Here is a 17,248-nt window from a genome sequence, read left to right on the forward strand (position 1 = left end):
TTTGTATTCAAAGAATGGAATATTGTCTATTGTGATTTTTTTTTTTTTTAAGACGGAGTCTCACTCTGTTGCCCAGGCTGGAGTGCAGTGACGTGATTTCAGCTCACTGCAGCCTCCACCTCCCAGATTCAAGCAATTCTCCTGCCTCAGCCTCCCGAGTATCTGGGATTATAGGTGCGCACCACCACACCCAGCTTATTTTTGTATTTTTGGTAGAGACGGGGTTTCACCATGTTGGACCAGGCTGGTCTCAAACTCTTGACCTCAAGTGATCTGCCCACCTTGGCCTCCCAAAGTGCTGGGATTACAGGCGTGAGCCACCATGCCCAGCCTTATTGTCCTGAATTTTTTTAAGTCTATTTTCCTTAATTTTTTACAATCTTTTACATATCTGACTTAGATCTCAACTTCCTTCGTTCCAACTACTTAAAATCATTTAAGTCCTCTATATCATCTTTGTTATTTAAAAAGTACTTTTAAAATGTGTATTTTCAAGGTGGGATTTCATAGAAATCTATATCACAGTGTATAAAAGCATAGGCTCTGAAATCAGACTGTGTATGAATTTGAATCCTTGATCTACAACTTAATGGTGTGACCTTGAACTAGTTACTTTATGTCTTTGTGCCTCATTTGTAAAATAGAGGTAATAATAATGAGTTAAGACTTAGAAAAACAAGTTAGAGCCCTTAGAACAATGACCCACATATAGCTAAGGACAACTACTGAAATTATTAATAGTCTCTACAGTACAATCATTTGCTTTTCATGCTTTGCCTTCATTTATTCATTCATAGATTCATTCACTTAATAATTTTAGAAAACCTAGTTTACGCCAGACACTGTACTAGATGCTAGGGATAGAATGATGAACAAGATAATCATTTCTTACCTTCATGAAGCTTATTAGTCTACTCTCTTTATTAAAGTTATTATTACCCATAAGTAAATGGTAACAGGTTTTGAATTGCATGAGTATTTTCACATTTCATATTTCCTTCTTCAACACTTTTCTATAGTAAGACCCATAGTCAAGTTAAAGAAGCCTTAATGTAAGAGATAACATTAGACATAAAGGCCAGGCGCAGTGGCTCACGCCTGTAATCCCAGCACTTTGGGAGGCCGAGTCGGGCAGATCACAAGGTCAGGAGATCAAGACCATCCTGGCTAATACGGTGAAACCCCATCTCTACTAAAGATACAAAAAAGTAGCCGGGCGTGGTGGTGGGCGCCTGTAGTCCCAGCTACTCGGGAGACTGAGGCAGGAGAACGGTGTGAACCCAGGAGGCGGAGCTTGCGGTAAGCCCACATCGCGCCACTGCACTCCAGCCTGGGTGATGGAGTGAGACTCCGTCTCAAAAAAGAAAAAAAAAAAGAATGATAAAGAAGGCTCAGGTTCACTGACTAATTATTTGTCTCTATTTCTGCATGTCAGTAAAGACAGTCAGTAAAGACTAGGCTATTGAAGGTAGACACGTGTATAATTTATTTTATTTACATTTATTGTTTATTTTACATGAGTGTATATAAATGCAGATTTTAAAAAATAGAGCAAGATTATTCAAAAGTGAAAGATTTATATAAACAATACTATTTTGATTCCCAAGGCTATTCTCTTTCTCACTGTATTTCTTTTATTCATATAAAGAAATGAATATATAAAAGTGAAGTCATGACCGGGTACTCATGCCTGTAACCCTAACGCTTTGAGAGGCTGAGGTCATGAGTTCAAGACCAGCCTGGCCAACATGGCAAAACCCCATCTCTAGTAAAAATACAAAAATTATCTGGGCATAGTGGTGCATGCCTGTAATCCCAGCTACTTTGGGAGGCTGAGGCAGGAAAATCGCTTGAACCCGGGAGGCAGAGGTTGCAGTGAGCCGAGATTACACCACTGCACTCCAGCCTGGGGGCAGAACGAGACTCTGTCTCAAAAAAAAAAAAAAGTGAAGTCATGACCCATGTCAAGTGTGGATACATACTTTTAAGCCATTTCATACTAATAGTGCTAAGGAATTGACTCTGATCTGTACATACTATAGCCCATTTCCCCTATAATGCATTGTCTGGTCAGGATCAGGAATGGTTTGTGGTCCGACAGTAAGTTTTATTAATTTGAGTGGCTCACAGAAGAATCAGCCTCCCAGCATGACCCCATTACCACAGTCCTTTACCCAGTGGAACTAACAGAGCAGATAGACAGCAAACATGACAACACTGGGGCCCTTGGGATTCATATAATGCCCTTGCCATTTACCACAATATAGAAAAACTGTTTTTGTTGTTTACAAGTGGTTTTACAAAATAAAATTTTTTTTAATAAAAAAGAAAAACTGTTTTTGCAAACATTCATAGTTGGGGAGGAGTAGTGACCAGAAAACCATCTTTCACCTTAACAGTAGAGGGCCATAGTGAGATGACATACAAGAAAAGTAACATTTGTTATGTACAAAAAAGTTAATGGTTTAAAATGGGAGGAGGAAAGAGGCATACGTCTTCCTGTTTGGAACAGTGAGGGAAAAAATGTTAACCTCTACCTTGAATTAGTTTTCTAGGACCTCTTTGAAATTTTGTAGAGATAGGAGGAAGAAATATATTCACTAGTGAAATTTCAGCAACAGCCACAGCCATTCTCAATAGAGGAAACTTCCAGAAATGACAGTGGAAAGAATTTAAGCAATTCTTTCTACAGAAAATCATAAAAACTGGAAAAAATATTAAAAGCAAGTATTTGAAGTTACTGGAAAATGAGCAGAGGCAGGTAGAAATTTGAGAAGAGCATCAGGTAACTATTGCAAGTTGATAGCTTTCTTGCCTGGAAGTGCCCCTTAGCCACCACCCACCCTCCCAGCACCCACTCAAGTGTACAGATTGGTAAGAGTTTAAATCAGCTGAGTAACTGAACATTTAAAGGGGAAATTTTGGAAATGAGGGAAATGCAGAAGGACTGATATCCAAAATCTCAGTATAAACCCTTCCCAAATCTCTGTGTCATCATTAAATAATGTATTTCCACGGTAAACACCAAAGAGTCTGAGAAAAATAGGCAGAAACTAGAAGAGAGTCTATCCTTGATATACTGAACTGCTTCTTGGTGCGATTTGCAAGGTTGCTGTGCCTTTGATTGAGTGCATTTTCTGAGCTATGTGCAGGTTGAACACACAGTTTGGATGACAGAAAGTGAAAGCTTTTCTGGCTTGAGGTGTCAGAGGGTAGATCTCAGGACTGGCAAAGCAGTTGAAAATTTAGGAGAGATCCCTAGAAGCAAAAGATCCACAGAGAGGATAAGCCCTAAAATATGACTATAGAATTTGTCCAGACTACCACTACCCTACACAAGCTCAAGCTCAGCAGAGAATATCAGGGAGTTAGGCTAAAAAGGAGAAGCTAGAAACCAAGAAACTGAGCAGAAACATTAGCTGCTGCAGGTATGACAGATTTCACAGTTTAAGTAAATTAACTGCTTACTAGTGCCAAAAAAATTAACAATTCTCAGAAAAACAAAACAGATTCCAAAGTCACTACAACATATTACCTTCAACCAAAACTTGCTAGACATGTAAAGAAACAAGACGATGTGACCAATGTTCAAGATAAAAAGCAGCCAATAGATACTAACTCCAAGTGGATCCAGATTACACATTTAACAAAGACTTGAAAGTAACCATTACAAATATATTCAAAAAAGTGAAGGAAAGCATGATACAAGTGAAAAGAGAATCCCAACAAAGAAATGGAAACTTTTAAAAAACAACAAAATAGAAATCCAAAGACTGAAAACTACAGTAACGGAAATAAAAATTTTACTAGGTGGGCTTAACAGGAGAATTGAGATGACAGAAGAATCAGATCCATAAAAATTCAGGCTGGGCATGGTGGCTCACGCCTGTAATCCCAGCACTTTGGGAGGCCGAGGTGGTTGGACACCTGAGATCAGGAGTTAGAGACCAGCCTGGCCAACATAGTGAAACCCTGTCTCTACCAAAAATACAAAACTTAGCTGGCCATGCTTTCACGTGCCTGTAGTGCCAGCTACTTGGGAAGCTGAGGTAGGAGAATCACTTGAACCCAGGAGGCAAGGTTGTAGTGAGCTGAGATCATGCCACTGCACTCCAGCTTGGGTGACAGAGCGAGACTGTCTCAAAACATAAAATAAAAATAAAAATTGAGATAGATTAATAGAAATTATTTAATCTGAAGAATAGATAAAAGATTGAAGAAAAATGGCCAGGTAATCCCAGCACTTTGGGAGGCCAAGGCAGGCGGATCACTTGAGGCCTGGCCAACATGGCGAAACCCCGTCTCTACCAAAAATACAAAAAAAATTAGCTGGGCGTGGTGGTGGGAACCTGTAGTCCCAGCTACTCAGGAGATGGAGGCAGGAGAATGGCTTGAACCTGGGAGGCGGAAGTTGCAGTGAGCTGCAGTCACGCCTCTGCACCCCACCCCAGGTGACAGAGCGAGACTCTGTCTCAAAAAGAAGAAAAAAATAGTAAATATTTTTTTAAAAAAAGATTGAAGAAAACTCAACAAAAGTCTCAGTAGGAGACAATATCAAGCAGTCCAACATTCTTGTGATTGGAGTTCTAAAGAAAAGGAAAGGGGCAGAAAAAGCATTGAAAGAAATACCAGCCCAAAACATAAGAAAACTACACCTATGTGTATATATAGTGAAACTGCTAAAAGGCAAAAGTAAAGAGAAAATCTTGAAAGCAACAAGGGGAAAATGATACATACAGGGCAACAATGGGAAAAAAAAAAGTAATGGTTATTCAACAACATTGTAGAATACCAAATGAACATACAAAAATCAGTTGTAGCCAGGAGCAGTGGTGAATGCGCTTGACCAGCTACTCAAGAGGCTAAAGCGAGAGGATTGTTTGAGCCCAGGAGTTTGAGTGCAGCCTGAGAGCAACGTAACAAGACCCCATCTTGAAAATCCAATTTTTTTAAATCAATTGTCTTTCTATAAGCTAGCAACGGACATATGAACATCAAATGTTTAAATACACTACTTACAATCACTCACAAAATGAAATACATAGAAGTCTAACAAAACATGTATATAGGACTTGTTTGCTGAAAATTATAAAACTAATGAAAAAATCAAATAAGATATAAATAAACCATGTTAATAGATTGGAAGACTTGAATAGTAATGATGTTAATTCTCCCCAAATTGGTATACAAATTTAATGTTATTCATTTCAAAATCCCAGCAAGATTTATTTGTAGATATACACAAAATTATTCTAAAATTTGTACAGAAAGGCAAAATAACTAGAATAGTTAATACAATTTTTAAAAAGAACAGTATGAGAGGAATTCCTCTACCTGATCTTTAAACATATTATATAGCTGCAGTAATCAAGACTGTGGTACTGGTAGACATAGATCACTGGAACAGAAAAGAGAACCCAGAAATACCGACACATGGCCAGGCACGGTGGCTCACGTCTGTAATCCCAGCACTTTGGGAGGCTGAGGCAGGTAGATCACCTGAGGTCAGGAGTTTGAGACCATCCTGACCAATATGGCGAAACCCCGTCTCTACTAAAAATACAAAAATTAGCTGGACATGGTGGCATGCGCCTGTAGTCCCAGCTACTTGGGAGGTTGAGACAGAAGAATTGCTTGAATCCAGGAGGCAGAGGTTGCAGTGAGCTGAGATTGCTCCGCTGCCCTCCAGCCTGGGTGACAGAGCCAAACTCTGTCTCAAAAAAAAAAAAAAAAGAAAAGAAAAGAAATACTGACACAAATACACCCAGCTAATTTTTGACAAAGATGCAAAAGCAGTTCAGTGGAGGAAAGATAACCTTTCACCAAATGGTGCTAGAGCAATTAGGCGTCCATAGGTTTAAAAAATGAATCTAAATCTAAGTCTTACACCTTATATAAAATTAAAACACGCCAGGCGCGGTGGCTCATGCCTGTAATCCCAGCACTTTGGGAAGCCAAGGCGGACGGATCACTTAAGGTCAGGAGTTCAAGACTAGACCGGTGAACATGGTGAAACCCTGTCTCTACTAAAAATACAAAAAATTAGCCCGGTGTGGTGGCGGGCACCTGTAATCCCAGCTACTGGGGAGGCTGAGGCAGGAGAATTGCTGAACCCAGGAGGTGGAGGTTGCAGTGAGCCGAGATCCGCCATTGCCCTCCAGCCTGGGCAACAGAGCGAGACTCCGTCTCAAAAAAAAAAAAATTAAAACAGATAATAGACTAAAATGTAAAACTATAAAACTTTCAGAAAAAAAAAAAAGAATCTTTGGAATCAAGGGCTACACAAAAAGTTCTTTACTTGATACCAAAAATAAAATCCATGAAAGGAAAAAATGGATAAATTGGGCTCCATCAAAATTTAACACTTTCGCTCTGTAAAAGACTGTTAAGGCCCGGTGCGGTGGCTCACGCCTGTAATCCCAGCACTTTGGGAGGCCAGGGTGGGTGGATCACAAGGTCAGGAGTTCATGACCAGCCTGGCCAAGATGGTGAAACCCCGTCTCTACTAAAAATACAATAATTAGCCAGGCGTGGTGGCGGGCACCTGTAATCCCAACTACTCGGGAGGCTGAGGCAGGAAAATGGCTTGAACCTGGGAGGCGGAGGTTGCAGTGAGCCAAGATGGAGCCACTGTACTCTAGCCTGGGTGACAGAGCAAGACTCCTTCTTAAAAAAAAAAAAAAAAAATACTGTTAAGAGGATGAAAAGATAAGCTACCCACTGGGAGAAAATATTTGCAAGCCACTTATTTGAGAAAGCACTAGTATCTAGAATAAAAAACATTCAAAGCTTACATTTAAAAAAAATGCAGTTAGAAAATAAGCAAAAATGATGAACATTTTATTGTAGAGGATATACAAATGGCACATAACCACATGAAAAGGTGTTCAACATTGTTAGCCATTATGGACATGCCATTAAAACTACATCGAGATAATCACTACACACCTATCAGAATAGCTAAAATAAAAATTAGTGACAACACCAAATACTAATAAGAATGCAGAGCAACTGGATCACTCATACATTGCTGGCATCCATGTAGAATGGTACAGTCCCTCTGGAACACAGTTTAGCTCTTTCTTTAAAAGCTAAACATGCCGTTACCACACCCCAACAATTGCACTCCTGGGCATTTATCCAGAGAAATGAAGATTTATATTCACACAAAAAACTGTACTTGAATGTTTATGAAAATTACGCTGAGTGAAAAAGAATCCCCAAAGAATATATACCGTATGATTCTAGTTATATATACATTTTTGAAATGATAAAATTACAGAAATGGAGAACAGATTCGTGGTTGCCGGAATTAAGGAATTGGAGGTGGGAGGGAGGTAAGCTGTACAGGTGCACCCTGAAAGATCCTTGTAGTGATGGAAATGTCCCGTATTGTGACTCTATCAATGTCAGTATCCTGGTTGTACTAGAGTTTTGCAAGATATTTCAGTTGAGGAAATCTGGGTAAAGGGTACATGGAATCTCTGTATTTTTTCTCAAAACTACATTATGAATCTACAATTATTTCAAAAAGTTTAACTAAAAAAAAGTAATGGCTGACTTCCTACTAGAAACAACAGAGACCAGAAAATAGTTGACTGACATTTAAACCTCAGTAGACATTTTTTAGCTTCTTCTGTTGTACACTACTACCAAACCTCAGCCAAGTGCATATGTTTTTCCATATTAGGAACTTTTAAATGACATTGGGCTAATAACAAATAGATAATTCCTTGTAAGCTACCCTTGTTATAAAGAGGCAATAGTGATGATGATAGTAAAGAAAAGTTGAAGATGAAGGTGATCTAATTCTATAGTACCTCATATGGTTGGGTGGTTTTTTCATTCCTATTCACGCTTCGGAAGGTTTAATATTGTTACCTTCTTAAATATATAATCATTTCTTTTTCATCTACAACTTATTTGATAAGAGCAAAATTGGTTTAGAATTAATAGATTCTTGATACAATTGAAAGTAAAAGTGAATTGTTTAAAACAAGGCCATGCTTGTCTATGTGCCTCTAACTTTCACTTCTAGTGATTACACTTCTTTGCCTATTATGAGACCACAGCACAGTGTCAATCACCTTTACATATTCAATCGATTCCACTCCACAGCCAGTCATTAGTGTTTGTTGTAGACACTGAAAATAAGGACAATAGAAATGAGCTCTGTGCTTCCTCTCTCACAACTGCCTCTTTTAATCCTGCATGTTAAGCTGAAATGAACTATTAAATGAGTGGAATAGAACCCTTGCCTTCTTTGTGTATGTGTTCTAGCTTTTTCAACTATGAAAATATAAAAACCTAGAATTACTAAGCCTTAATCTTACAAGTCAGAATCTCCCTAGGTCTGAGCCTCTTCTTGGTTGTTTATTACATCTTCCCAAAATGGTGAGTGATAGTAGATGTGTAGTTAGAAGAAAGGCAGAAAGAGCTAAAAGAGCTGTGTTTCATTCACTCAGTATCCAGGCAAAGGTCATTTTCAAAAGGAAACAGTTAAGTCAACATGGCTGACATTCTTTCCTGTTAATATCATTTTAGCTAATGGCTCAAAAAATTTCACCCATAGAAATATCATTTGATCTTTGGTACCATTGCTACTATTTGTATTAGTCCCAGGCATAAATACCAATGCTGCTGCTTGCTCTTCACCATTTTTATCTTTTGCCTCCCAAAAATATCCACCTTGAGTTACATTTTTCTTTGGTCCTGCTACTCTATTTTTATTAGACTCATCCTAGTTCATTTTATGCCTGTAGGCCTTGGCCCATTAAACCCTTTAAATCAATTATGTACAAATGATCTTTTATTTTGATCCTCACTAGGACCCTGTTGATACCTTTGTGGTGAGCTGGGACATGCCAGCAGCTACCACTGTACTAGTCGGTCCTCCACAGACTGAGAGGACCAGGAGTGGTAGGTTTCCTGTTGACTTATTCACCTGTAGGACAGATTACAGAAGGTGAGGGTATTGGACTTAGAGACTGATATTTTAGAAGGGGACAGGTTTATGCAATTTTGCTATTTTTTTTTCCTTTTGTCTGCCTTTGAAAAAGAAGGAAGAAAACATGTATTGCGTTCCAAACTCTGTATTTGGTCCTTTAGTTAGGTATGTTAGCTGTTTTTTTTTGTTTGTTTGTTTTTGTTTTGTTTTTGAGATGGAGTCTCACTCTGTCACCTGGGCTGGCGTGCAGTGGCGTGATCTCAGCTCACTGCAACCTCTGCCTCCTAGGTTCAAGCGATTCTCCTGCCTCAGCCTCCCAAGTAGCTGGGATTACAGACATGGGTCACCACGCCCAGCTAATTTTTGTATTTTTAGTAGAGATGGGGTTTCACCATGTTGCCCATGCTGGTCTTGAACTCCCAACCTCAGGTGATCCACCTGCCTCGGCCTCCCAAAGTGCTGGGATTACAGGAGTGAGCCACCATACCCAGCCAGGTATGTTAGCTGTTTTATTTTGTCTTTAAATGGTAACTGTAGTAATTAAACTATGTATAGCGCCTTGTAGTTGACAACATGAATTCATATGTATTATTTCATTTATCTTCACAACCATCCAGATATGAGGAGATGAAAACTCTAAGACCTCCCAGCTTCCAAATAGCAGAGCCAGTCCTCAAATTTATTGCCTAGCCCAAATTCTGTGCTTCTTCACCCAGGCCACATTGCTTCCACATAGTTTCCCTTCAGTTGTAAGTAGTAGAAAAGTAGGACTCCAGAATCAGTATCCTTACATAAACAGCTCAGTACATGAGAGGCAGTTGTGAGACTGGAAAATGGATGGGACTAGACTGTGAGGGTCCATGCTTGCTTGCTGAGGCTTTATATTTTCTTTCATTTCAGGATGGCAATGGCACGGAGAACAATGTTCCAGAAGGGGGAAGTGCATAACAAACCATCAGGTTTCTGGGGAATGATAAAAAGTGTTACCACTTCAGCATCAGGAAGTGAAAGTATCCTTTGTCCCTCTGCTTGATTCTTTTTCTCAACTCTGGACCAAGAGCAAAAGAAAAAAAGTAGTGTTGGGATAGTCCCTTCTAAGGTACCTGACTACATCAGAGTCCAAACTCCTAAGAGCTAGGCTTAGGAAATACCATGTGTACAGTCATCTTTCCAGCACCTGCACAATATCATAAAATCATTGTCTTTGAGCTGAAGTGGTCCTAAAAAGTCAGCCTTTCCATTTTACAGATGAGAAAATAGACCCAGAGAGGTTAAGTCACACGGTGGTTTGTGGCAAAGCTAGAAACATAACTGTGGTCTCCTCTTCATAGTTCTTTCCACTACACTATTACATTTCTCAACTCTGAAAAACCACCATAAAGCATAATGGCTACCTAAAATAAATGGCCCATTTCTAAAGTAATTAGTATTCCTAAACAAATTTTAAGTAGCTCTGCTTCTCCAGTGACATTTTGGTTTAAAGAATCAAGGGGAGGCTGGGCGCAGTGGCTCATCCCTGTAATCCCAGCACTTTGCAAGGCCGAGGTGGGCAGATCACTTGAACCCAGGAGTTCAAGACAAGCCTCGGCAACATGACAAAACCTCATCTCTACAAAAAATACAAAAATTAGCCAGGCCCAGTGGCATGTGCCTGTAATCCCAACTACTCAGGAGGCTGAGGTGGGAGGATTGTTTGAACTTGGGAGGCTGAGGTAGGAGTGAGCCCAGATCACGCCACTGCACTCCTGCCTAGGCAACAGAGCTAGACCCTGTCTCAAAATAAAAAAGAAAGGATAAAGGAGATTTGATTAATAGATTAATAAATTGTTCTTTCCTGATTGGTTATGATGTTGAACTACTTCCCAAATTATGTAACCAAATTTCTGTGTGGCTCTGGTGCTATTAGGTCAAAACTTTGGGGAACTAAGCATGAGATAGCATACTCCTGTTTCCTTCTCTGTCCCAGGGAAATACAAATTCCCTTTTGCCTCAATTAGAGAAGGATGTCTATTCTTGCTACAAATTATGATTTATGTCCTGGTGTCAAATGAAGATAAGAATAAGATCAAAGAAAGGCAAGATGATTGTGGAAGAGAAAGAAAAAGGATTAATTTAGATTTATTTAACCAAGAAACATTTATTTTGTATCTCCTATTTCCAGGCTGAGTGCTAAGAAATAAAATGATGAGTAGAGTATAGCCTTTCTCCTCAAGGAGCTTACCCTCTAATCATGGGAGAGACAGACATGTAACTAGTTAAACCATATTGTTTGGTGGCTTGAACCATGCCAGTAGTAGCCACTATTAAGGAAGGAACTGAAGGGCACTTACTGATTTGGGTAATAGTGGGAAAAATCAGAGAGGAGGGAGGATTTAGATTGAAGTATGTGCTTCTATTTTAGAAGGGGCTATATTTACTATGTTTATTACTTAAAAGTTCATAAAAGCCAATAATATGGGTTTGAGCTGTGTTAGTGATGAGTTAACAAACATATCAGGACTATTTAACCTCCCTGAGCCCCTGTTCTCTAAATGGGAGAATAATAACTCTACCTGATTGAGTTCTTGGAAAATAACATAGTGTAACGGAAAGAGCAGGCTTTGGAGGAAAAGAGGATTTGACTTTGCATCTCTATCAATTAATTGTGTGACTTTGAGCAAGTTATTTAACTCTCTGAGCTTCACTTTCCTTATGTGCAAAATGGATAACACCATGGCATAAGACAATCCCATGAAGATAAGATATAAAAGAAGATAATGTTTGAAAAGAAATAAGGTAATGTCTGTAAATCCTAGCCTATATTAGAACACAGTAAAGTATTAGTTCCCTTTTCTAACATTATATTCAGATAATGTAGGAGAAAGCTATGCTTTATTATAGTTATTATTCTGTAACTATTTACAATCTTGAACATTACATTTGACTTAATCTAACTAGATAAATCAAAAAACAAATGAAACTATCTGTTTGAGCTGCTTGACTTAAGAGAAACTGAGTGGTAATTGTTTGGTGGCGATGCTCTTGATGGAGAAGCTTTTACACACCTGCGTCAGAGGTTGGGAAAGTTGCTCTGAAGTAGTGTTGCTGGCTATGAAACAGGAAATTGAGAATATAGGCAACTCCGGGAATCCACTGTAGGAAAAACTAAAAGTATATGCTTTCTCATTGCCATTTCTTGAAATTCCTATGTGATTAAAACCTTGATGCCCATTCTGTGCCAGATCTTACTCTTATTCAACAGGAAGTGGATGCTTTGGAAGAATTAAGCAGGCAGCTTTTTCTGGAAACAGCTGATCTATATGCTACCAAGGTACAGAGCAAGGAAACTGAAGTGTGGTTTTTACCAATATTATTAAAGAGAGAACAAGACTAAATGGCTTTTTAGATTTCTCTGTGGCCAAGCAAGAGATACCTCACAGCTTCTATATCAGCCATGAAGCATTAGGGATAAGGGATCTTCACTCTTCATGAAATTGCTCCTGTCACTAGCAAAATCCTTAATGGAACACTCTCAAAAGTAGCAATTGGTGGGATAGTCAGAAGAGGCTTTTCAACATTTAGGAAGGTGGCACGTACCACCTCCTACTAACCTGGGATAAAGATGGTAGCTACTTTTTATTCCTTTATAAGTTAGTAATATTATAAGAGCAGTAGACACCTATCTGCCATGGATGGCCTAGCCCTATTTTAAAGGATCCAGATCAATAAGTGTCGAAACTGTAAGAAGTAACTTTCCTATGTACACCTAAAATAAAATATAATTTAAATGTGCAAAATCTGTTAGTGAAGATTGCAAACTTTTAATTCTTTTTGAGGATAACTTTACAGGAGTAACCTTATAGGACAGAGGTTAACATAGGCTTTGGAAACAGATAAACCTGAGCCTACTCACCAGCTGTGTGACTTTGAGCAAGTTATCGAACCTCTCAAAGCCTCAATTTTCTCATCTGTAAAATTAAGATAATAGAACGTATCTCATAAGAGTTGTTATGAAGATTAAGTGGATAATGCATGTAAGATGTTTATCCCAGTCTCTAGCTAAAAGCAAGCATTCAGTAAATGCTGGCCACAACTACTGTTATTAGTTTAATATTATTGCAATGTATGGTTTTTTGACTGAACCTGAACAGTGATTCATAGAGGGAAGAATACTTGTGTTGAATATAAATTTATATTTTGCTGAAAACTATGTTTTGTGTTTGTTTTCCCCCAGGAGAGAATAGAATACTCCAAAACCTTCAAGGGGAAATATTTTAATTTTCTTGGTTACTTTTTCTCTATTTACTGTGTTTGGAAAATTTTCATGGTAAGTATGTTATTTTTAATTATCAGAGTTTAGATGTTTTTTCCTGGTAGTGGCAGGGAGATAAGAATGGATTTGACTGATATATTGAACTAAATTCCAAATGTGATTGCATCAACAGAGAGCATGATCTTCCACATCTCTGGGCTTCATTTGTTATCCTCTCTCCTTTTTAGATTACATAGATAAGGAAGGTTGCATTTTTCTTCTGTCAGAAATTGTTAATAAGGCCTTAGTTTATGAAATATCTAAATTGAGGCCGGGCATGGTGGCTCATGCCTATAATCCCAGCACTTTCGGAGGCCAAGGCAGGCATATCACCTGAGGTCAGGAATTCGAGAACAGCCTGGCCAACATGGTGAAACCCCATCTCTACTAAAAATACAAAAATTAGCTGGGTGTGGTGGTGGGCTGCCTGTAATCCCAGCTACTCAGGAGGCTGAGGCAGGAGAATCGCTTGAACCCGAGAGGCGGACGTTGCAGTGAGCTAAGATCACGCCACTGCACTCCAGCCTGGGGAGAGGGTGAGACTCCATCTCTCTCTCTCTCTCTCTCTCTCTCTCTCTCTCTCTCTCTCTATCTCTATCTCTCTCTCTCTATCTCTCTCTCTCTCTATATATATATAGAATGTGAACATTTCTTATTTTGCATTCTGCTTTCTGTGTTACCCATGAGTACATAACTGTATATATAACTTCAACTTCTACCTTCAGCTCAGAAGTTACTTGTCCTTTTTAATTATGTGTATACCTAAAAAATTAAGTTCACAATAAATTCTAAAATGTATTTCCATAGATAAATTCATTTGCTGTACATATAGCTCTAATTCTTTTGTGGTTTTCTCATAATATTTTTTATGTACAGTATTTGTCTTTACCTCTGACTCAGGTATTAATGGATTTCAATGTGATTACAGAAAAGGCTGATTTGACTTCCTAGTTTGATGACTTTCCTACTGGGTTTGTGTTTGTGCACAGAGGAGCTTTGTCAGCTTGTTAGTTAATTTTGATCAATGTAGATGAATGAGGATTTTCATTATATAAAGGATCTAGTGTTACAATAAATTGATGTCAATAATACTCAGATGACATTTTAAAATCTGGATTCATTCAGTGGGAGATAATGAATGAAGATAGTATGTTCAGTTAGCAAAGCTACTAAAAGGTATTTTCCTAAGATGCAGCGTTTAGGGAAGCATGTCTTTTTTTTTTTAGATGGAGTCTCACTCTGTCACCCAAGCTGTAGTGCAGTGGTGCGATCTCAGCTCACTGCAACCTCTGCCTCCTGGGCTCAAGCAATTCTCCTGCCTCAGCCTCCCGAGTGGCTGGGATTACAAGCACGCACCGCCACGCCCAGCTAACTTTTTTGTATTTCAGTAGACATGGGCTTTCACCATGTTGCCCAAGGTGGTTTCGAACTCCTGAGCTCAGGCAATCTGCCCGTCTCAGCCTCCCAAAGTGCTGGGACTACAGGCGTGAGCCATCACACCCGGCCTAGGGAAGCATGTCTTTTTTTTTTTTTTTTTTTTTTTTTGTGAAGACGGAGTCTCTCTCTGTCTCCCAGGCTGGAGTGCAGTGGCATGATCTCGGCTCACTGCAACCCCTCCGCCTTCCAGATTCAAGTGATTCCCCTGCCTTAGGCTCCCAAGTAGCTGGGACTACAGGTGTGTGCCACAACGCAAAATACAATAATTTTTTGTATTTTTAGTAGAGACAGGGTTTCACCATCTTGGCCAGGATGGTCTCGATCTCCTGACCTTGTGATGCGCCTGCCTCAGCCTCCCAAAGTGCTGGGATTACAGGCGTGAGCCACTGCACCCAGCCAGCATGTCATTTTTTAACAGGCTTGTTGGGGTATAACTGATATGTAAACCGAACATATATTTATGTACAACTGGGTACGTTTTGACATACATATATACCTATGCAACAACCATCACCACGGTCAAGACAGAGAACACATCCATCCATCACTGCCATGAGATTCCTGAGATTCCTGGTGTCCCTTTGTAATGCCTCTCTCCCACACCTCTAGTCCCCAGACGACTGCCAGTCTGCTTTCTCTCATTATATATTAGTTTGTATTTTCTAGAATGTTATGTAAGTAGAATCCTACAGTATGTATCCTTTTTCTGTCTGGCTTATTTTACTCGGCATGATTATTTTACATTTTATCCATGTTATGATTTGTATCAGTAGTTTATTCTTTTGTATTGCTGAGTAGTGTTTCCGTGGTTTGGACGTGCCACAATTTTGTTTGTCCATTCATCTGATGATGAATATTTGGTTGTTTCCAGTTGGGGGATATTACAGATAAAGTTGCTGTGAACACTTGTGTACAATTTTTTGTATAGACGTGTGCTGTCTTTCTCTTGAGTAGGCACTTAGGAGTGGAATGTCTGGATCATATGGCAGATGTAATGTTTAACTTTTGAAGAAACAGCCAACTCTTTTCCAAAAAAATTGTATCATTTACATTTCCACCTGCACTGTGTATGAGTTTCAGTTGTTCACATCCTCACCAACACTCTATATGGCCAGTCTTGCTAATATTAGACATTCTAATAGATACGAGGTGATATTGCATTGTGGTTTTAATTTATATTTCTTAATGTCTAATGATATTGAGCATCTTTTCATGTGCTTTTTTTCCCACCCATATTTTTTTTGGATGAATTATCTGTTCAAATCTTTTGCCAATTTTTTTTTAAATTTTAAGTTCTGAGGTACATGTGCAGGATGTGCAAGTTTGTTACATATGTAAGTATGTGCCATGGTGATTTGCTGCATCTGTCAACCCATCACCTAGGTATTAAGCCCAGCATCCATTAGCTATTTCCCTGATGCTCTCCCTCCCCCTCCCCGCCTTCGACAGGTCCCAGTTTGTGTTGTTCCCTCCCTGTGTCTGTGTGTTCACATTGTTCAGTTCCCACTTATAAGTGAGAACATGTGATATTTGGTTTTCTGTTCCTGTGTTAGTTTGATGAGGATGATGGCTTCCAGCTCCATCCATGTCCCTGCAAAGGACATGATCTCATTCCTTTTTATGGCAGTATAGTATTCCATGGTGTATATGTACCACATTTTCTTTATCCGGTCTATCATTGATGGGCATTTGGGTTGATTCTATGTCTTTGCTATTGTGAATAGTGCTGCAGTGGGCGTACATGTGTATGTATCTTTATAATGGAATGATTTATATTCCTTTGGGTATATACCCAGTAATGGGATTGCTGGGTCAAATGGTATTTCTGGTGCTAGGTCTTTGAGGAATCACCACACTGTCTTCCACAATGATTGAGTTAATGTACATTCCCACCAACAGTGTAAAAGCGTTCCTATTTCTCTGTAGCCTCACCAGCATCTGTTGTTTCTTGACTTTTTAATAATTGCCATTCTGACTGGTGTGAGATGGTAGCTCATTGTGGTTTTGATTTGCATTTCTCTAATGATCAGTGATACTGAGCTTGAGCTTTTTTTCATACGTTTGTTGGCCACATAAATGTCTTCTTTTGAGAATTGTCTGTTCATGTCCTTTGCTTACTTTTTAATGGGGTTGTTTGATTTTTTTCTTGTAAATTTGTTTAAGTTCCTTGTAGATTCTGGATGTTAGGCCTTTGTCAGATGGATAGATTGCAAAAATTTTCTCCCATTCTGTTGGTTGTCTGTTCACCCTGATGATAGTTTCTTTAGCTGTGCAGAAGCTCTTTAGTTTAATTAGATCCCATTTGTCAATTTTTGCTTTTGTGGCAATTGCTTTTGACATTTTTGTCATGAAACCTTTGCCTGTGCCATGTCCTGAATGGTATTGCCTAGATTTTCTTCTAGGTTTTTTATAGTTTGGGGTTTTACATTTAAGTCTTTAATCCATCTTGAGTTAATTTTTGTATAAGGTGTAAAGAAGGGTTCCAGTTTCAGTTTTCTGCATATGGCTAGCCAGTTTTCCCAGCACCATTTATTAAATAGGGAATCCTTTCCCCATTGCTTGTTTTTGTCAGC

The 17,248-nt window shown here is 39.0% G+C and overlaps 1 protein-coding gene across 15 annotated transcripts in view; it reads left to right on the forward strand.

Moving 5' to 3' along the window:
• GPR89B (G protein-coupled receptor 89B) overlaps positions 1-17,248 on the forward strand; it is a 97,515-nt gene that overhangs the window by 28,287 nt on the left and 51,980 nt on the right. For 10 of the 15 annotated variants that reach the window (NR_183755.1, NR_183756.1, NR_183759.1 and 7 more), the window contains 3 exons: positions 9,848-9,957; positions 12,169-12,257; positions 13,161-13,253. Coding sequence is in view for 9 of the 15 variants with exons in the window: in NM_001350184.2 (NP_001337113.1) it covers positions 9,848-9,957; positions 12,169-12,257; positions 13,161-13,253 (292 nt within the window). In the remaining 6 variants the exon portion in view is untranslated. Of the gene's footprint in view, positions 1-9,847; positions 9,958-11,625; positions 12,258-13,160; positions 13,254-17,248 lie in introns of those variants that run through there. The other 5 variants (NR_183757.1, NR_183758.1, XR_007060778.1 and 2 more) reach the window with 5 other exon arrangements.

This window comes from Homo sapiens, chromosome 1 (assembly GCF_000001405.40).
Source record: "Homo sapiens chromosome 1, GRCh38.p14 Primary Assembly".
NCBI classification, from domain to species: domain Eukaryota; kingdom Metazoa; phylum Chordata; class Mammalia; order Primates; family Hominidae; genus Homo; species Homo sapiens.